Here is a 21,795-nt window from a genome sequence, read left to right on the forward strand (position 1 = left end):
AGCCAGCTCAGCACAAACCCTGGCCAGAAGTCAAAGAGGGGAGTTTACCTCTGCAAGTGACCAGCCTTCAGGGCAGGGCCTTTCCTTGGTCCAGCTGACTTCAAAGGTGCACCCCTCCAGCGGGGGTGCATGTCCTTCTGCACTTCCCAAATGCCCTGAGCTCACTCCCAGGATGCCTGTCGTGTTTATTATAACTGGTTCTCCACAGGCTTGTCGGTGCTCCACGCCAGCAGCACAAACAACCCGCCCTCTGTGTCCCACCGCAGGGAATCTGAGTGCTGGCCCATATCACAGCCCAGTAATCTTCCCGTAGTGCCCCGAGCAGCCAGGAACTTAATATACTCCTATCTCATGCGCACCGCCAGCTTTTCTTCAAGGCCCTATGGAGAAAACACACGTGTTTGGCCACAAGGCCCAGCGTGATGTGAACCAGGATCCGTGTCAGAACCCTGGTCCAGATTCGAAGTGGGTTGCAAGCCTGACTGCTGGGCTCATTCTCCAACCAACAACAAGAGCCGTCGGGATGCATGCTGGGGCTGCTTGTTTTGATGTTGTCCAGATTTTATAACTCTGCTTTTAAAAAGTGTTTGCTCCAATCTGGTATTCCTGCGTTTCAACCCTGAAGTGTCCTTCCCCTTAACCCATCTGGAGGGAAAGAGGAAAGTGTTTACGTCGCAGACAGGTCAAGTGTAAATGCAGGCAGGTGTGTCCAAGCCACTATCTTTGTGTCCTAGATTTTTCTGTCAAGGTCTGTTGGGGCTCAGAAATCCATGCCCCAAGGTGGAGGCCTCAGAAGCAAAGTCTCTCTCTCTGACCTTCTCCTGCCCTCCTGTCTCTTCTCTCACCCATCATTCTCCCCCGGGGCAAGCCATAGAACTGAGAATCCTTCTTCCTCAAAGCAGCTCGTGGAAACCAGACTCTTTTCTCCCCAAAGCCAGCCAGAAAGCCTAGAAATACCACTGTAACTTCCCCGCTGCCTTTCTGTGTAACAGTGGGCCGTAAAGAAATCCAGACCCGCATTCCAGAGGAGTCTTGTCCCCGGTGCCTGGAGGAAGGAGTGCTGCACAGAGGGGCCAAGACGGATCTGAACAGACAGGCCTTGCTGGGTTTTCCCCTCAGCCTGCGAACATGGGCTGCTGCCCTTTTTGTCCAACTACAGTTCTATACTGCCATCCAGTTTTCCCTGTATCTGTGGGTCTTCATTCTGAATGAAGGCTCCTGTGTCATGTAAAACGTGATCAAATAAATTTGTCATGCTTTTCTCTTGTTAACCTGTCTTTTGTTATAGGGGTGTTGGCCGTGAGCCTTAGGATAAGGAAGAAAGGGATCACCCCTTTCTGCTCTCACACATCAGGGGCATCTCTTTAGGATGATGTTGTTGCATCTAAATGCAAGACAAACAGGAAATTTGTCTTTCCTGGTGGACAAAAGGATTCTTAATACATCGTGATCCTGCCAAGTAGAGAAGGTGGCCTGCTGACATATCTGCAAACTAAATACCAGAAAGTTAACCCGATTTTCCTTCTCCTTCTTTTTTCTATTGGATAGTCAGCAGGTGTAATAGCGTAGTCTAAAAGGAGCGACCCACGGGGTCTTTCTCCTTGCCGCAGCTGCAGGCTTCTTATTTTCTTAAAAAAGCAAAAAGCAGGGCGCCGGCAAGGACATCCATTGACCTCCACTGCGGCTGTGTTGGGCACACAGAGGCACTCTGCTTCGTGGTGCCCTGGGCTGCTGCCAGCCCCGTTTGCTCTGAGCTGAATGAGGGGGCTCAGTTCTGTTTAGGGACTTCCCATTCGCAGCCAGCATCGTGAGTGCATGAGCCGGAAGCCAAGGCTGCTCTGTCTGCACCTGTTCCCCGTCAAAGAGCTGTAGGAGGGCGAGTTAAAGAGTTAAAAAGTGACAGAGGTTGTCAAACTTTACTCTACCCCAAGGGCCAAGAGATGCTCCTGACTGCCTCTTACAAGAAATTTGCAGACACGTGCACTTGGGTTTGACTCACTTAACATGTCAAGACATCAGATCTTCACGTCATGAGCAAGGGGCACAAGGTAAGGGCCAGAAGAGCTTTGCTGGCCAATGGGAAACAATGTTGAAATTTGCTACAAATTACTTAGAGGGAACAATCAGATAAGGAGAAGTTCAGACCTCAGGTTGCTTACAGCAATGCGTTTACACAGTCATTCAACATTGTTCTGTGGATGCACGAGTCACAGCACAGCTGCCATAAAATCAATCCCATAAGGTGACAGACCCTACAGAGAAGCCACATGGGCAGTGAGCAACTCAGGGAAAGAAACCACAGAGAGGAGGGGTAGACACCCTACGGTTTGAGTCCAGGTATCTTGGGAAATTGTCACTTCTTTTATGGGGGTGCTTACATATTCAGAAGCATGACTGGAGTGTAATCTGATCATTTAATCCATATAACCTGGTAATATATTATAATTAATGTCAGAAGTATTTCTCAACCTCTTATCAGGTTTCTCTGCAATGTAAATAAATATTGCCCCAGTGTACCACCCTTTCTACGGCACTGAGGAAGGCCAGTTGTGCCCAGACTAACCTTCTGGGCCCCCTGCACAAAAAGACACGGGGGCAGTTAGGGTGGGAAGTTAGGATGGATGAATCCTACCTATCCCATGGCAAGCCAGACATCAGGTACTTAGAGGATGACATGGCAGAAGCAGTGAGACCCATCTTCAATGGAACGTAGGCTTTTGGGTCATTTGTTAAGCAGGATGATTTTAGAAATCAATATCTGGTCTATTGAGGTCTATGCAACCTGCTTGGCTAAGGTGACGTCTACCTGAGACAAAAATGATAGAAATAGGTTGTCTCACAGTGACGGGTGCCATCTGTCCTCTACGCAGCTAAGATGGAAAAGCAGTGGGAGCAAAGGGGAGGGTCAGCAGAGCAGCAGAGCCTGGACTGTAGCCCAGCCTGGCCCTAATGTATCCGTGTCACCAGGGCAAGTTCTAATACCTCTTGTAACAGGGCCATTATCCCTAAGTCAGAGAGCTGATGGATGAGATCGCATAGGACTATTACTGAGCACAGTGGCTTCAATAGTTGGAAGTTATTCACGGAGACACTTTCACCCTCTCTATTCCTCCCTTGTTTTCTTCCTCGGTGCACCCCATCCATCCGTCACGTGCCTTGTTCTCCTTCCTCAACTTCCTGCTGCCCACTTGCATCACAGCAGGGTGGGCTGGGTGTAGGGCTCCTGGCCAGGCACAGTGGCAGGTGATCTGTGGGAGGATCGCAGAGCCTCCCAGAGGGAAGGCAGCTTAGAGGACAGTAGGCAGCACCATCTGACACTTCAATTCCTCAACACCTGTCCCAAGTAGTTACACGGAAATGCTTTCAGTATTGGCTGAACCCAGGCTGTTGTTGGACTTTACAGATTGCTGGAAATATCTTCCTCATAGCACAACAGGATTCATCTTCCAGAACTTTCCACACATTTGGACACTATTCTCCCTTTTGGGGTCAGGTAGATTAAGTTAAAACCTTCCTACACAGAACTTTGGATATTTGAAGCTTCTGTTTACCTCCAACTCTTGTCTTTTCAGAGTAAATGTTCCCAGCTCCCCACATAGTGAACATGTTCTTCTCACCACCACCAGGGACAGCCCTGAACTCTGTTTTGGTTTATCTCTTGCCTCCAGGGGAGGAGTCTGGGGCCTGGCACATCACTTGGGTGGGTCCCCCGGGTGCGCTGTAGAGCCAGCGGTTATCTCCTCCTGCAGAGCTGGGGCTAACATCCCTCAGTGAGTTCAGTGTGCAGAAGGCAACTCTAAACCACTTCTATTGCCATCCTGCTGAGCGAGGCTTCCGGGAGGGCTGACTAGAACTCTCCTTGGGCTTTCTTCATCAGTGTCGTTCTGATTTTATTCATTTCTCTTTACTGGTTCTATTTTCCCTACAAAATGTTAGCTCTGTGCCGATATCCTTTGAGGCAGGAAATTGGAATTCGCCTGGTGATGATAGGAGGCATCTGTTGGGGGAGGAGGGGGCATGAGGGTGGCTAACTCACCCCTCCTGTGGTTCCCACTCCACTTTCCTCTTATACTCCCGGCCTTCACACCAAGCCTGTAGCTCTAGAAATCACAAAAGGACTGGACCCTGTTCTTTAAAAGGCAAAGCATGAGTCTAACACAAAACCACAGAGAGGATCCAGCGGACTTCACGGGTGTAATTTTGAAGAGTTCTAGGGAATCATTTTGTAAAAGACCCAGTTAAGTAAGTACTAAGTTTTCTTTTTCTCAGATATTCATTTTTAAAGGCTGTATTATTACTCTATGTAAAATTAAGTGCAAAGTATTTGGTTTGGCCCTGGGCTTCCAAGTTAGTGGTGGGGTTTAGGACATGCCGCCCCAAAATTCAGAACCCTGGCATTTGAGAAAAGAGGCAGAGGCAGAAAGATCTCTCACGTTCCCTGCTCTTCTCCCCTGAAGCAGGTCAGTCATAGGACCTGCGTTTGAGACGTGCCCTGTTGATACCTGGAGGAAAGAAACGTCCTTATCTCTGAAGACACAAGACTTCAGAGATAGATCTGAACAAACACCTCTTCGTAAGTTTCCCCTGGTTTATTGCCATTAGATCATAGCCTGTTTGTGCAATCACACTTCCCCACACTGTCCACTCTTCACCAACCTAAGCTTAAAAATATTCAGATTTCTCTGTTTCTTTGGGCCTTCTCTTCTGAAGGCCCTGGTGTCTTGTAAAATATGGGTAAATGTATATGATTTTCTTTTGTTAATCTCTCTCGTGTTAGTAGGGGCCACAGCTGTGCACCTAGCCATGGGCAAGGAAAAGCTGTTTTCTCCTTCCTCTTCCATGAGGTTAAGTGTGCAGCTGGGATGTGCTGCAGGACCAGGGCCAGGTGTGGGGCTCATGCCTATCACGCCAGTGCTTTGGGAGGCCAAGGTGGGAGGATCCCTTGAGCCCAGTAGTTCAAGACCAGCCTGGGCAACACAGTGAGACCCTGTTCCTAAAAAAATTTAAAAAATTAAAAAAATAAAAACATGCCACAGGACCACTGCTCAGAGCTCTTTGGTCTGGCAACCCTGGACCTTCACATGGTTTTGTTTGCCAAAGCAAAGTCCTTATTAATATCCAAATACAGTTTGAGTTTTCTTGGGCTTTATCCTCTCCAGAAACCCAGGAGTGTGTCAACTTCTTGGTTGCATTGCTTTCTTCAAAGAGAGAGTGAATCCGGTAGAGATAGAAAGGATGTCCTTTACGTATCCCACAGCGGCCTCACGGAGAACGATAAGAGAACAATCATTAAAACTTTCATTGCCATAATTTTCTGCTTTCGTTTTTTAAAAGTTTGGGTTAGCAACCAATTTCCTCCTTGACCAGGTGATTTTTTCCTTAGACTGTTTATCCAGAGCATTAAGGAAAACAGAGCATACCACCCTCCCACCATAGCTGATAAGGGGATTCAACACAGGTGCGTGTGCTAGAGTTAAGGGAACATATTATGCTAACATGAATCTAGACTGACTTAAAAAATAGATGTCTGAAGCAAGTCTTTTAATTCACAGCAAGGCTGTGGCTCACCACTGGAAGTGTAACTGTTGTAATCTGGCTAGAGAGGAAAGTCCATTACATTTTAATTTTTTTATGACTTCATTCAGCCTGGAGCAGGGTGAAGTGGATAAAAGAGAGAGTTGTCGTCTTAGAAAAATTGCTGATTTCAGATCAGAAGAAGGAAATCAACATCAAGAGCCTGGGACATTCTGTTGGGCCAAAACAAAATAAACAAAACAAGAAAGCTGAGACTATTGACTATGTTGACAGGAATAAGGGGCCATCTGAAAATGCTCCCATTGGCCTAAAGTGGGGGAATTTGGACATTAAAAAAAATTAACTGCAACAGACTAGGAGTGGTGGCTCACACCTGTAATCCCAGCACTTTGGGAGGCTGAAGCAGGTGGATTGCTTGAGGCCAGGAGTTCAAGACCAGCCTGGCCAACATGCTGAAACTGCGTCTCTACTGAAAAATAAATATGAAAATTAGCCAGGTGTGATGGCACGTGCCTGTAGTCCCACTTACTTGGGAGGCTGAGGCAGGAGAATTGCTTGAACCTAGGAGGTGGAGGTTGCAGTGAGCCAAGATTGCGCCCCTGCACTCTAGCCTGGGTGACAGAGTGAGACTCTGTCAAAAACAAAAAACAAACAAACAAACAAAAAACAAAAACAATTAAGTGCAACGGATTGAAATACATGAAGTATATTTTAAAAATCTATGAGTATGAGTTCATAATGATGTTTTTAAAATCCCATGAAATAATGAGTCTCAACATTGATCTGCAATAGATATTAAGTTTACTCAATGAAATGCTGATGAGAAATTTCGTATTGGAGGGGTCAGGCTGACACCATCACTAGAAGTGGGAAAACTTGACTTTATGGGCTGCGTGTTGTAACGCAATTGGTTACAACACACAGCATATAACCTAAAACATAAACCTGAATGCACTCAAGCCTCTAAATCTGTCAATTTACAGCATGTGTTGGGGATAAAGTAACAAGCTAAATGACAATAGAAGGAAGCAATCAGACAAATGTAGGATTCAGAACATTCTGCCAATGACCTGGGTTCTCCAAGGAATCCATGACACTTCAGAGACGTAAAACCAGACCCAATGAGTGGACTGTGTTTGGATATAACTGTGAAAAAATATCTTTCAAACCATTTGAATGTGGGCTGGATATTAAATGATATTAAAGAATTATTTGTAATTTTATTAGGTCTGGTCATCATGGCCTTGCTTTAAAAAGGGAGGCCTAATTAATTAGAATATATCATACTGAAGTATTTGTGGGTGACATGGCACATTGCCTGCTATTTTATTTAAAATACTTTTTTATTAATAAAAGTGAATGCAGATGGAGAAAACAAGAGTGTCAAAATTAAAGCCACCAAAATGTAGTCACTGTGACAAAGGACATTACCCATGAGCCACGTCGGGCCTTCTGATCCTTGTGCCTCTGGGGGCATCCTTGGTCAGCTTTCAGTGGCTTTCTTACTTTATTAGTTTCAAAAGACCTTCCTAAATCCATCCACTTGTTCTTTTAGTTTTTTACTGCCTCATTTTTCCTACTGTACAAGTTGGTGTCAACGAAGTGGTATTTGCTAGAATGACCATGGCTCTGGGAAACATGGTTTGGGAAGAGAAAGGATAAAAGGGTGGGGGGTGAGGAACCTTCGATTCCTTGGTGGCCACGTGCTCAGCCGTGTGTGGAGCCACAGTTGTGCTGTGCTCAGTTACTAAAAGTGAAAGTTATCAGTGGTACTGAGAGATGGCTCCAGCTCCCTGGGAGCTGGTTCACTGGATGTGTAAGGAAATGCAAACTAGGGTAAAATGTTCAATTCCTTGGTTATTGTTCTATGTAACAGCTAAAATGAAACTAAAAGGCAGTGCTGGCTCAGACCTTGATGCTAGACCAAGCTCAGATTTCAGTGGGTCTGAGTTTCAGCCACTGGCCTGAAAGCCACCCTCAAGGGAAAAATTATGCAGGAACAACGTGAAGTATCTCTAAGATCTCTGGTCACCAGCAGGTAGTCCATGTGGGGAGAGGGCCAAACCAGAAGACCACTGAAACCAGAGGTGCCGTGTGAAGGAACTGTTCATTTTGTAGATCAGTATCATCAGCTTCCTGAGGAGTCTTTAGTAAAAATGGGTTATGACAGCAACAAATATAGGATGAATATCTTTGGTTTGGAATGCTGCAGAGTGGAAGAGCGTGTTTGGGTTCATGCAGTACCCACAGCTTGCTATGGAACAATCACAGGTGGCTCTAAGTGATCAGACACACAGAAGGTTATTCTCAAGGGAACAGCCAGCCTGGTGGACTGGTTACAGTCACTGTAAGATTTGTGTATCCTGAGAAGAGGGACTGTTGTCTCCTCCTATGACTGAAGTGGAGCACCCCAGATGAAGCGGCGGACATGCTTTGCGTGCAAGCCATATGGGACTGTCTTTTTGATGACCGCGATATTCACCTGTTAAACATGCCTGTTACCCATGTATAGCAATATATATATAATAGAGACAGAGAGAGAGAGAGAGAGATGGAGTCTCACTCCGTCGCCCAGGCTGGAATACAGTGGCATGATCTTGGCTCACTGCAACATCCACATCCCGGGTTCAGGCAATTCTCATGCCTCAGCCTCCTGACTAGCTGGGATTACAGGCGCCTGCCGCCACGCCCAACTAATTTTTGTATTTTTAGTAGAGACAGGGTTTCACCATGCTGGCCAGGCTGGTCTTGAACTCCTGACCTCAGGTGATCCACCCTCCTCGGCCTTCCAAAGTGCTGGGATTACAGGCATGCGCCACTGCGCCCTGCCGTAAAGCAGTATTAATTGGGCATGCTAAATGGGAACCAGTGAGACCGTCTGAGCCCACAGGGGAGAGTTGAAGCTGGAGTCTTGGTATGGCCAGATTCTCTCTGTGTTAGGTCTGTGTGGTGTGTGCACTGGAGCTTACATCAAAGCCTGTGAGCACCTCCCAGCGACAACTACTGGGACTCTAGACTGGAGAATTCTCATTTAAAGGGTATTTACTAACTTGGTCTCAGACATTAGTGGAAACTACTCTTATGACTGAAGGACATAAAATGATCTTAAAACATGAAATACCCCTGATGTCTTGGGTGATATCAGAGAAATGCTCTAATGGGAATGGCAGTACCCTAGAAGAGTCCTGTAATAAAATGGAAGTGGTTTATTCAGGATCATGCTGCCTAGGGAATACAAGGAGGCGATATGAGCAGGGAGCCCATTTTCCTCTAGGACTGAATCTGGAGCTATGTGAGGAGCTTCTGGATTCTATCGTCAGTTGAACAGAGCCCTGTCAACCTCTCTCAACTGACCGACGAAGAGTTGCTTGGTTTGTGGGTGGCAGTTCCAAGGTGAAGAGACACACAGTCCTGTTGGAAGGGCTACTTTGATCAAAGCAGGCTAAAACAAATCAACTTGGTGGGCTGAAATGCATGCTGTTACCTAACAGTGATGGAAGAATTGAAGGGTTGTAGAAGCGCCTGTGTTTGGGGTTTTATTGACTTTTGGGCAGCGACCAGTGGCCTGGCCATACACTCAGCAAGAGGGCCATGGAAACCTGGCTATTAAAAGGACTCCCCCATGGAGCACAGCCCTGTGGAAATCTGAGGGTGCATTAAAGTAAAACAAGTCAATGCTCATCAGAACTCCCTTCCAGATTCCAAAGGTGACTGGAGTCAACAAGCAGTTATCCCTGTGTCCTCCCCTGATGTGGGCAGCTGGGTCCATGAAATAAGTGGGTAGCTGCAGCAGTGCAGAGATGGGCTGAATCTAGACATGTTCTGTATAGACGCTGACTGGTCTGGGCTTTGCTTACCCGGTGGAGGATGCAAATGCTCACTGTGCCATTCAAAAGCCAGAACAGAAGATATTGCACCAATTTGGATGGCCCAGTCACATTTCTTTAGACCAAGGAACACACTTTACAGCCTGTAATATCCAACAATGGGCAGAGCTAGTCTCCTCCGGGTAATAGTTTGATAGAAAAGTAGAACAGGCAATTCAAACATTAGTTGTCCTAAACGGGGGGAGATGAAGACACGAAGGGCTGGCTTGCACATCTTCACAAGTGTAGTGCACACTCACCATGAGTGGGGCTAAAGGCGTGTTCCCCTAACACTTTCCTCCGTTTCCTGGTGGATCTGGGGTAGAGGGGTGGGAGGATGCTGGTATGACTATGCAGTTCTTGCCAAGGGAGAAGTACCCAGGCATAATGACTGCAATTTTTTTTCCTTCCCTCTCCACATCACGTTAACTTTTTTTCCCCTACCTGATGCAGGGGTCATAGGCCCAGGGCTGCAATTATAAATGCTGACAGCAGGGATGATTCCTAAGCAGGAAATTGTCACTATGTTTTTAAAACTTGTGTCAGAATTCCCAAGGGCCTGATGGGGATGGGTTGTGCCTTCACCCCATCTGGCAAACTGGGGTTGACACAGAATGAAGCTATCTTGTTTGGTGGTAAGTATAGCCCACGGCTTTGTACCCTGTCTGAACGGAGTGGACCCAGGGAGGGGCACCTGCTAGACCAGTAATGCTCCCAGCAATCTAGACCAGCACAGTGTCTGATCTGAGTGTCCCTTCCAAGGGTGGAAACGTTTGGGTCTAAACAAAGAGAAGGAGAAATCATAGCTGAGGGTAAAGGAGTGAATAAAACGCTCCTGTAATGAGGGAAGTCTCATATTATATTAACACTGAAAATGCTCCAGAGCAAGAGATATCATTGCCTCTTAGCTCAATTATCCCAGATGCCCAGAAGGGTAAAGCTATGTGTTTGCCGAGGCCACTCCTGCTTTTGAAGCCCTACAGGACAGGGTGGAAGCCTGCAAATCTGAGTAGCCCCACCCTGGGAGACATTTCCATAAGATATGATGATGGACTGGACTAACTATTAATGAATGAGTGGGATTCTAGTCATGTGACAGTATCTTTTGAGTTGTATATCATTTTGCTGTAAGAGATTGGTGGCCAGAGACAGGGGGCGGACTGTGATACTGTACTATAGTAAGAAATATCTATTGGTCTCTGCCCCGAGTTCCTGGCACAGACCTCCCAAAAACCCTTGTAATTTCCTGGGCAATAGGGGTGCTAGGTGCATCTTTTATTCTGATGTTTGGTCTTTGACTCTGGTTCCTGACACAAAACTCCTAACCCCTGGCATTTCCTGGGTGGCAGGAGCGTCTTTTTTTCCTGGTGGACTCCTGCATGGGGGCTGGTCACCAGAAAGACCAAGCCATCTCCTCTGGGAAGAGAAGAGGGGCTGGAAATGGAGTTAATAATCAATGACACGTATGTGATGAAGCTGCCATAAAAATCCCTGAACTGCAGGGTGTGGAGAGCTTCTGGGTTGTTGGACATGGGGGAGTGCCTGGAGGGAGGGAAGGTTCCCTCTGTGCCCCATCCTCATGCTCTACCCTGTGCATCTCTCCATCTGGTGCTCATCTGTATCCTTTACAATATCCTTGATATTAGTAGTAAACTGGTAAATGTAAGTAAACTGTTCCCCGGAGTTCCATGAGATGCTTTAGCAAATGAATCAAACCTGAGGCGGAAGTCATGGGAACTCCTGATTTATAGCTGATTCATTGGAAGTTCTGGAGGTCCAGCCTTGCAATTGGCATCATACAGGCAGTTTTGTGGGACTGGGCCCTTAACTTGTGGATGGCAACTCCCAGTAGATACTGTCAGAATTGATGTGTGGGGAAAAACCCGGACATCTGGTCACAGAAGTGTTCTGTGCTGTGCTGAGAGCATAGGAGGGGAAATCAGTTTGCTTGTGTTTTCCTGCCACGTAACAGAGCCTCTTCTGGGAGAACCTAGGATTCTCTTCTTTCAAGCCTGATGGACACAAAGGACTTCATCTCCCTGGGTCCTTCCTTCTACACAGGATTTTCTTTTTAAGGCTTTTAAGCACAATCACCATGGAAAAAAAGGACAGAAGGTTACTGTTGGGTTCCCCCAAAATATATGTTGAAGTCCTAACCCCCAGCACTTCAGAGGTGACCCTGTTTGGAGACAGGGCTGTTACAGATGTAATTACTTGAGGTCCTGCTGGGGTAGGTGGGCCACTGGTCCGATGTGCCTGGTGTCCTTACAAGAAGAGAAGAGACATATGCACATGGCTGTGGAGATGCAGGCAGAGGCTGGAGCGCTGCAGCTGTGAGCTAGGGAACACCAGGGATCCACGTCCACCCCAGGAGCTGGGAGAGTCAAGGAAGCGTTCTCCCTTACAGATTTCAGAGGCGGCATGGCCCTGCTGACACCTTGGTACCAGACTTCTGGCCTCTAGAACCATGGGAGAATAAATTTCTGTTGGTTTCAGCCACCCAGTTTGCGGTCCTTTGTCACCACAGCCCTAGAAGCCAACACAACTATGGCAGGGGGTTCCAGAATCTAGTAGTAATTCTGTGATGTGCTTCACGGCAAGGTGGGGAGCATCTTTGCTGATCGGCTTCTCACTGAAATCTCCAGGCCCTCATAGTCTCACTCCTGTATTCCTAGGGACAAAGCATGCTATAGTCTGAATTTTGGTGTCCCTTGCCAAATTCATATGTTGGAAACTGATGCCCAATGTGATAGTATTAAGAGGTGGGGCCTCTGGGAAGTGATTAAGTCACAAGGACCCCACCCTCGTGAATGGGATTAGCGCCCTTATAAAGAGACTTGAGTGAGCTTCCTCGCCCTTGCTGCCATGTGAGAAGGCAGCAACAGGACACCATCTATGAAACCTCACAAGACCCTTAATCTGCTGGCATCTTGACCTTGGACTTTTGAGCCTTCTGAACTGCGAGCAATACATTTCTGTTGTTTATGAATTGGTCAGTTTAAGGTATTTTGTTACAGCAGCTCAAACGGATTAAGACAGAGCCCAACCAAACACCCGCTCCTTGGATCGCTCCCCTCCTTCCTTTTGTTGCCTCTCCCCTCATTAAGGAACGGGAAGGGAGAGATGAGGGATAAACAAGCGTGGTGACGGATTGGTCCTAGACTGATGCGGATGACGTATGCATCAGAGATTTCCTGGGCCTTGCTCTGACTTTGGTCTTCCAGCAGTGCGCAGGCCTGCTCTGCCCCGCTCTGCCCCGCTCTGCTGGCCTCAGCCTTCCTCATTCATCATTGTTCACCTCACTCCCATCCACCTTCTTCCCTTTTTCCCAAACCTATCCTGATGAGAAGTTTGAATTCTGTTTTAAGGAAAGACCTTCCAATGCAGTGTGGAGTGAGGGCCATTCCCACATACATACACACTCCATACTCTTTTGAAGCGATTTTGTGAATTACAAAACCACCATAATTTTCAGGAGTAGTGGCATGTCTTAGTAGGAAATGTTGAATGGAATCACAAAAAGCTTGAGAATAAGAAAAATAAAAAGATAGGATGTGCTGACATTTTTGAAAGCCCTAAAATAATTTGGTGCCCATAGTGGGAACCTTGTCATACTTATTTACATAGTATGGAAGGCTATTTGACAAAAAAATCAAATGAGGTATAGGAATAGTAACTCATTATAAATTGGGGACAATAAAGCCAAATTCCACTGGATTTTAAAGTTATACAAATGATTCTCTAGTCCCTAAATTAGGGATATAAAAGTCCGTAGGCAGCTTTGGGGCTGAAAGGGGTTCTGTAAGCATCTTGCTGTATAATGGAGCAAGTCCTGACCCAGAAAAGAATCTGTACTTTGTCCCAGATGGGCTATAACTTGCTCTGTGACTGCCATCATGTGTGTTCTGGCAGAGATTCATAGGCAGGCAGAGGAGTGGGGAAGCTTCATAGCAGAAAAGGGAAGGTGTCAGGTGTGTGCTGACTGGAGGCTGCTGGCCGGGGAAGCTGGAACGAAGTGGGCTATCCAGAGGTGGTGTATCCATCCTCTGTAGTTGGTTAGGGCACTTAGTTCACTCTCTCCAGTTGGGGTTGATTGTAGAGTTCTAACTTTTTACGTGGTCTGGCCATTGTCCATGTGTATATTCAGTCTCTCCCAAGCTAGTCATCTGGTAAGTGACCAATAAGCTTTAGTTACTCAATACAAAGAAACCAAACCAGCATTAGATGGGGAGGAGAGTTCCATCTAGAGATCTAACACTGTGATAGTGGAAGCAGTCCCAAAGAATGATAGCCTATGATACCATGCTTGGGGGTGTGGCCTTCCGGTCTCATCAGAAAAAGTACAGAGCTCAGAGCAGAATCACATGGAAGCAGCTCTCCCCTAGACTCTCCTAGATGTTAGGTCTCTGAGATCATAGTAATGCAGTCAGCAATGAAACCTACCTGGTTAATTAGAGAAACACAGCTCCATCAATGTAAGAGAGAAGTCTGGTAAGCCTTCTTATGGAAAATTCTTTACCTATTTTCCCTTCAAATATTGTTTCTGCTCCATTCTCTCAACTTTCTCTCAACTGGAATCTTTCCATAAATAAGTTGGAGCTTTTCATTCTTTTCTCCATTTCTTTTCACTTTTTGTCTATATTTTCTATCTCTTTAGTTCTCTGGGTCAAAGTCTATTTTGTGTTCTCAGATGTAGTTTCGGCTCACTAGTTTTCCCTTCTGTTGCGTTTGGCTTACAGTCTAACTTGTCTGTGGCATTTTATTTTAATGGCTGAATTTGTACTTATGGTGTTTTTTCAGTCAATCTCCTTGTTCTTTTTAAATGTGATTTTGCATTCTTATATTACACATTAAATACTTCCTTTATATGTTCAAACTTTGAAAACAGACCCACTTAAAATATTTTTCACATTCCCTTATTTTTCTGTTCCTGGGAGTGAGTTACCCCCAACTCTTAGCTTTATTTGGGGAAGTCAGTTTCAGCTTCTCATCACATACAGGCTTGAGGCCACAAATTCTGTTTCTCCTTGAGTACTAAACTCCAGTGCCAAGGGATTCACTGCACCCCATGGACTCAAATCATGTTGAAACTCAAGAGCCACCTCTCTGATTTCAGTTTCCTTCTATGACTTTATGACTCTATGACTCTATGACTCTAGCACCTTTCTTGCTTTTGAGCTCTCTTTCCCACAATGGTTCTATTCAGCATTTATCTGTGGGAGGAGCAGCCAGGTCTGCTCAGTCTCACATGTTAACCAGTGTCAATGAGTATTTGTAATGCACCTACTGTATGCCCACTGGGGCTAGGCACTGAGGATACAGAAATAAACAAGGCATGGGCTTTTCCCTCAAGAAATTTATAGTCCAAAGGACCAGACAGCAAATGAACCAACATTTATAATAAAATGCAAGATGTGTGATGGTACAAGTACTGCAGGTTTTATGGAAGTCCAGGGGGGGCATCTGACTCAGGCTTAAGGGGAAGTAAGGGGAGGTCAGCAAAGAAAATGCATGTTCTTCTAAGCAAAGATCTTATTGGAACAAATGAATGAGAAAGGGCATTTTTGTGGGGAAAGCATTTTGGCTTTATTTTCTTTTTAAATCTGTGTGTAGGCCCTAAACCCACAGTCGTACACGGACATCCTTGCCTCCCTACTTCTCATAGTATGAGGCTTTCGTGACTTGCGTGTTTCCTTTCGGCACCAAAGGTATCATCTGATGAATCATTTATTCAGCAAACATCATGCAAACAGTTATTAAGGTCACTTCCCAAAAGGTTAATTTTACTGCTTGGATATAGGTTATAACCTGGAAGACTTTGAATCATTGCCAACTGCCATTGTAAATATTTATGAGAAGTTTGTTCCCAATGTCTTAGGAAGCTTTATTCTGTTGTTTTTGTTTTTCTGTATACATTAACATGGATAAAGAAATATCCATGTTATGTGCCATCCACATATTTTTGGTAAGGTATAAAAATTAGGCTGGGCATGGCAGGTCATGCCTGGGCAACACAGTGAGACCCTGTCTTTACAAAAATAAAAAAAAATTAGCTGGGCATGGTGACTCACATCTGTAGTCCCAACTATTTGGGAGGCTGAGGTGGGAGGATTGCTTGACCCCAGGAGGTCGAGGCTGCAGTGAGCTCTTGACTGCACCATTGCACTCCAGCCTGGGTGACAGAGTGAGACCCTGTCCCAAAAAATAAAATAAAATAACAAAATGAAATAAAAATTGTTTTTTTTTATATTGAGGATAAAGGATCTGGAATGAAAGAAATATACTGAACTATCTGTAGGACCATAAGATGTTTAAGCTGGATGTTACCTTGTTGAAAATGAGGTAAATCTAGGTGAAAACAGGGTTTCTTACCCTCAGTACAATTGAAATTTTGGGTCAGATAATTCTTTGTTGTTGAGGGGTTTTTCTGTGTATTGTAGGATGTTGAGCAGCGTCTCTGGTCTTTATTGACTAGGTGCCCATAGTCATGACATGCTGCATGTCCCCAGATGAGAACGCCTGGTCCAGATTCTTTATTCTAGAGCTAAGAAATGAAGGCTCAGAAAGGGAGGGTGATATGGCTTAGACAGCCAGTGAGAATCAGAATTTGGACCAGCACCTCTGGGTTGCTGACTTTATAAGGCTCTTCTCACAAAAATGAACTGCAACAAAACCTGCTGGCTAATATTAGCCTCTCAATCCCATTTGCATCAGAGCCCTGGGCTCAGACCCTCAGAATAATGTAGCTTCTATTGAAATACTCAAATTTGGCAAGCTTGTCCTGTTTGAGTTGTCTCCAATTCACTTAAGAACCAGGATTTTTGTGAAATTTCAATGACAGTCATTGAGTTGATTCTGAGTGACCAAAATGTTCCTTCCAAACTCACACTCTTTTTCAACAAGTGTCTGTTTCTCTTTCCGTCTGCTTGTGAAAAAACAAATCCTTTGAGCCAGTCCCAGAGGATTATTTTATACTTGATCATTTTCCATGGTACTAATGATTGAGTGACTGCATGCATGCTTGCCAAACAGTAAATAAATCCGTACATAGCTTTTGTTCATTGGATAATCGGGTGTAATATATGCAAAGTTAAAGTTCACTTCATGAAAACACCCGGTTTTATTTGAGGTTTTTTCTTCTGGTCAGTGAACCCAAAGGCCTAGGGAAAAAAATCAATTCACATTTTTGAAACACTGTGGTCCTGCCATTTGCCTCTCATTCATCATGTTGACAAACAAGTGTAAGGGAAAACAGAGGGTGAATGAGACCAGGCTCCAGAATGTTCTTCTTCGGGGAGCGTACCGTTGCGGGCGCAGCCCTCTCTGGTTGGCAAGAGGCTCCCTCACCTCCAGGTTGCCCAGGGTCATTTGGCAGGCCTGTGTTGGATTCTGACACTTTGCAGAGCTGTTGTCACTGAGACCAGCGGCTTGTGGTTGGGAAAGACCACCCGAGCCAGCGAGTGATCAGTGACATTCAAGCTAAGCTCAATTTATGTCAGTATGCCAGTGACGAAATTCACAACTTGATTCTCCCTCAGGGCTGCCGAGTGTCTGACGGGACAAATCCTTCCAACGGCCGCAGCAGGTGCTTCTTCTAGCCCTGTGTTGCAATGACCTGCAGCTCCTGGGGATAACTCAGGCACGCTGCTGACGCCATCAGGAGGCTCAACACCCTCACCCGCTTACGCTACGACCAGCAAAAGCAAACCCCGCAGCTGCCTGCCAGCCGGGAAGAAGGACTGTGTTTCCATGTTGTGAGTCTCCTCATTGCAGCCAGATGATGAATTTGCTGCTGGCTTTGTGCGAAACCGAGAAATACCCAGCGTCCAGCTGAGGGCCCGGGTGGCAACAAAATCAAGCTGATGAATTAAAGAAATATGGCCTGGTCAGGATGCCTGGAGGCCTCAGAGTTCTGATCTTTCTTCTGAGTTACTACATCTTCTGAACTGCTCCCAGGATGGTGTTTGTGATAAGTTGGTTTGCCCAGTAAAACTGTCGCCCAGTGGAGGCAAGCCCTACCTCCTGTCCTTTCTCATGCAGTGGTGTGGAGCGTGGTGGGGAAGAAAGGGCGTTCGACAGCAAGTCAAAAACTTTGGATTTCATTTGTGGCTGTGACACTGGGTTGGGGTCAGTGGCTCAGTGTTGGGAGGGTCTCATTTCTCTCCAACTCCATAGGGCTGTGAGATCACCCACAGCTTTGATTTGCATGTCCAAGCTCATCCCAGCACTTTCTCCTCAGAATCTGGCTAACATTTCAAGTCACTCACTAGCTTCCAGAACTATGGTTAGCTCAGACTCAGTTGTAGCTTCCCCAAACTGTCATCCTACTGTTTTTATCTTACAGCTGAAGGAACTGAATCCCAAACAGCCCGAGCAACCCATTCAGAATCACACCACAGATTTCCTCACCCCTCTTCCACACCACAGAGCCTTCCCATTTTTACATGTCTTTTATATTAAGACAAAACCAAAAACTCATAATTAAGTCAGTAGTGTAGAAACCTGAAAGATATTTTGTTATAAAAGGTTCACTGTAAACCAGGATTTAGAAAATGCAAACCCTTGGGTAAAATGAAGTGTTTTCAGGACACTCACCAGCAGGATCCCTGGCCCCAATTCTGAGAATGTGACCATAAGGACAAGAGGCCTGACTGGTCACCCCAGGCCAGGCCACCTCTCTGACAGTCTGGGATTCTCCCTGCATGCCCCAGATCCATCCTAATGATGAAGCTCAGGTGCTGAGAGCAACTGATCAGATGTTGGCAGGATCATCTAAATCCATAGGCAGCCAAGCAGCCACTCTACTTTGCCTGGCAGAGCTGCAGCAGGCACCTGCAGACACCACCCAAGAGACAGTTCTGCAGTGGCTGAAATGTCTGGAATCTGTACTCCTGGAGCAGTGGCGAGTGGGCACAGGTGGCTATGGAGACTTAGAATGGGGCTAGTGCAAGTGGGAAACTGCATTTGCAGTTTTATGTCATTCTAACTGGTTTAAAGTTTATGCAGCCACATGTGGTTAGCGACTAAGGCACTGGACAACACAGTTAGAAAAGTCCCTCTCCTGGGCACTGCCAGCTGCAGGCACATTCCTAACCTAAGATGTCCTGCTTGTTCCTCTGGGTGTGTGGGCTGCAGTCTCAGTGTCTGCTCGCGCATGTGGACACACCTGCCTTTGCCAGCACATAACTCACCCACCCGTTCGCACACACATACACATGCACCCAATTCACCTTGACTTTGAGTGTCCATGTCTTTTCTTGGCCCCACCTGCAGTCTTGATGCCCCAGGTAGGAATCTTGGCATGTTGAGGGAGGGGCCTGTGGGAAGCAAACTGCATTCTCGTCCTTACTCCGTGATCGTCAAGGATTCACCCCTGCCATCTTCTCCCCCTGACCTCAGCGAGAGCACTGTTCAGCAGTTTGCCTAACCGAGAATCCACAGCTTCTCGTCCCTGTCTGGCTCCCTGTCTCGGAAGCAATGTTCTCGCGTCTTCCTCCAGACAGGCAGCTGCTGGCATCTTCACAGCTCCCTCTCTCCGCGGCTGAAGTCAGGACCCACAGATGGTGCCGCTCGTTTTCCTCAGCAGCTCTGCTTACCGCATTTACAGGGGTGGCAGAAGCCAGTGCGAATGAATATTAAATCAACTAAGGCAGAACTTCTCAAAATACACTCCTCAAAACAGGTTTTTTCTTTTTTCTTTTTTTTTTTAACCCCACAAACTGAGTCCATTTTGGCTTCAGCGAAAACCACACTCTCACCTTCCTTTCTGTGAATTACCAGGAAATAGTTCAATTTTACTTTTTTTTTTTTTTCTGTCAAACATTTTCTTCCTAAACTTTTTGGCTGCTACCTGTTTTCAAGCAGACGGCTAATCCGGTAGCAAATGAACTGGGTTTTTCTTAGGCTTGACATATCTCTGTCAACAGCCTTTTTCTTTTTTTTAAACTAAGCCCAGATTTTTGTGCAAAACCGAGAAATACCCAGTGTCCAACTGAGGGCCCGGGTGGCAACAAAATCAAGCCGATGAATTAAAGAAATATTGCCTGGTCAGGATGCCTGGAGGCCTCAGAGTTCTGATCTTTCTTCTGAATGACTACATCTTCTGGACTGCTCCCAGGATGGTGTTTGTGATAGGTTGGTTTGCCCAGTAAAACTGTCACCCAATGAAGGCAAGCCCTACCTCCTGTCCTTTCTCATGCAGTGGTGTGGAGCGTGGTAGGGAAGAAAGGGCATTCGACAGCAAGTCGAAAACTCTGGATTTCATTTGTGGCTCTTACACCCCTTTTTGAAAGGAGTTTTGAAGCAAGCTTGCATGCGGTTACACCTGAACTCTCAGTTAAGAGCAATTCCATCTTCCAGTTGCTTGGGCCAAAAACTTCCATATCAGTCTTAACTCGTATTTCTCTCATACACATATGCAGTCTGGCAGCTCCACCTCCACCAAATATGGAAATCTGGATGCCATTCCTACCTCCCCTGCCAACCCCCTGGTCCAAGCGACCATGGCCTCTCAGCTGGGTGAATGCAAGAGACCCTTCTCTGATCTCCTTGTATCACCCTTGAGCTTTTAAAATCTATTTCCCACCCAGAAGCCTAAGAACCCCATTCCTCCTCTGTGGTTCTCCTCCTCACTCAGGAATAAGCCCTGCACGATCTAGAGCCCCTTCCTGGCCTCTCCCTGCACAGGCATCCTGCCCTCGCTTCCCCTTCCCCCTTCCCCGTTCCTCACCCCTCCCCCGCCTCTTTCCTGTCGTCCAGCACACCCTGCTCCACCTCCGTGGGCACTTGCTGTTTCCTCTGCCAGAACACTTTGTTCCCAGTATCTTCACAACCCAATCCCTCACTTCCTCCATATTCTGGCCTTCCTAAGCATTTTATCTGAAGTTCCAGCATCCTCTTGCCCCAACACGTAATACAGACACACATTCCTGGCTTTAGTGTTCCTTGCTAACATTTCGCTCTTGAAAGCATATCTTAGGCAGTTACTCTGTTTATTTTCAATCTCCCGCGTAAGAACGTAGCTTCCTGAGGGCAGGAATTTGGGTCTCTTTTGTTCACTGCTGTGACCTCGTTGTCCAGAGGAGTGTCTAGCCCTCCGTAGGCACTCGGGAAAAGTTAAGTGACTTCATGAGGGCGTCTTCTCCACAGCAGTACCCACATTCTGTATTGTGGTGTCAACACTGGCTTACTTTGAAATGACTGGCCTCTAATGTAGAGATAACCCAACCCTCAACACAGTCACTGCCCGACTCTTCAAAAGCCCTATAACCATTGAGGTAGGTTATTAAACTTAGTATCATAGGCTTTTTAAAAAAACAACAACAAGGATTTTTGAGGTATAACTGGTGTACAATAAACTGCATACCATTTAAGTGTAAAGTTTGGTAAACATTGATGTGTATGCATCATTACCACATGAAATATAATGAATATGCCCATTATCTCCTCCAATTTCCCCATGCCCTTTGTAATTCCTTCCTCTTGCCCCCTACCCTTTTCTACACAACTATTGATTTGTTCTCTGTCACTATAGATTCGCTTGCATTTTCTAGAGTTGTAAGTAGATGAAATCATGCATTACGTACTTTTCCCCTAGCTTCATTTGCTCAGCATGGTTATTTTGAGAATCATCGATGTCATTGTGTGCATCAGAATCCATTTCTTTTTACTGCTCAGTAGCATTCCACATTTATCCACTCATCTGTTGATAGGCATTTGGGTTAGTTCCAGTTTGGAGCTATTACTAGTCAAGCTGCTATAAACATTAGTGTACAAGTCTTTGCATGGGCATCTGCTTTCATTTCTTTGTGTAAATACTTGGGAGTGAAAATGGTTGAGTCATATGATGGGTACATGTTTAGCTTTTAAAGAAACTGCCAAACTGTTTTTAAAAATGGTCATAACATTTTGCACTCCTGCCAATAGCGAATGAGAGTTCCTATTCCTCCACATCCTTGCCAACACTTGGTATGGTTGGTCTCTTTAATTTTAGTCATTCAAGTGGCTATGTAGTATTCTCTCACTGTGCTTTTTATTTGCATTTCTCTGATGATGAACAACTTTTTAAGGTATAATTGCCATGTATTAAATTACACATGATTACAATATACAATTTAATCTTGTACATCTTTTTGTTTACTTGCCATCCGTATATCTTCTTTCATAAAGTATGTGTTCAAACCTTTTGTCCATCTTTTATTGTTCATTTTTTACTGTTGAGTTTTGAAAGTTCTACGTATATTCTGGATGCAAGATTGTATCCCAAGATTGTAAAGATTTCTCTTATGATTTCTACTATAAGTTTTATAGTATTCAGTTTTGGTCACGTATATATTTATATTCTCTATGATGTACATGCATTAAATTTATGACTCACTTTGTGCTAATTTTTATA

General features: G+C 45.6%; 1 long non-coding RNA gene across 1 annotated transcript, besides 1 other annotated feature; it reads left to right on the forward strand.

The window, feature by feature from the left end:
- The first annotated feature begins 13,757 nt into the window (after positions 1-13,757).
- On the forward strand, positions 13,758-21,586 carry LOC105378088 (uncharacterized). Its single transcript, XR_001744437.2, has 2 exons — positions 13,758-13,892; positions 16,940-21,586. It is a non-coding gene; the product is annotated as an uncharacterized LOC105378088 (long non-coding RNA).
- Positions 14,470-15,669: an enhancer, noted in NCBI's record as "BRD4-independent group 4 enhancer chr6:160694323-160695522 (GRCh37/hg19 assembly coordinates)". NCBI's record gives its function as "activates an origin of replication core promoter dependent on BRD2, P300/CBP, MED14 and CDK7 cofactors, and independent of BRD4, by STARR-seq in HCT116 cells {active_cell/tissue: HCT116}" and the evidence as "EXISTENCE:reporter gene assay evidence [ECO:0000049][PMID:35650434]".
- Positions 21,587-21,795: the final 209 nt, after the last annotated feature.

This window comes from Homo sapiens, chromosome 6 (assembly GCF_000001405.40).
Source record: "Homo sapiens chromosome 6, GRCh38.p14 Primary Assembly".
Lineage (NCBI taxonomy): Eukaryota > Metazoa > Chordata > Mammalia > Primates > Hominidae > Homo > Homo sapiens.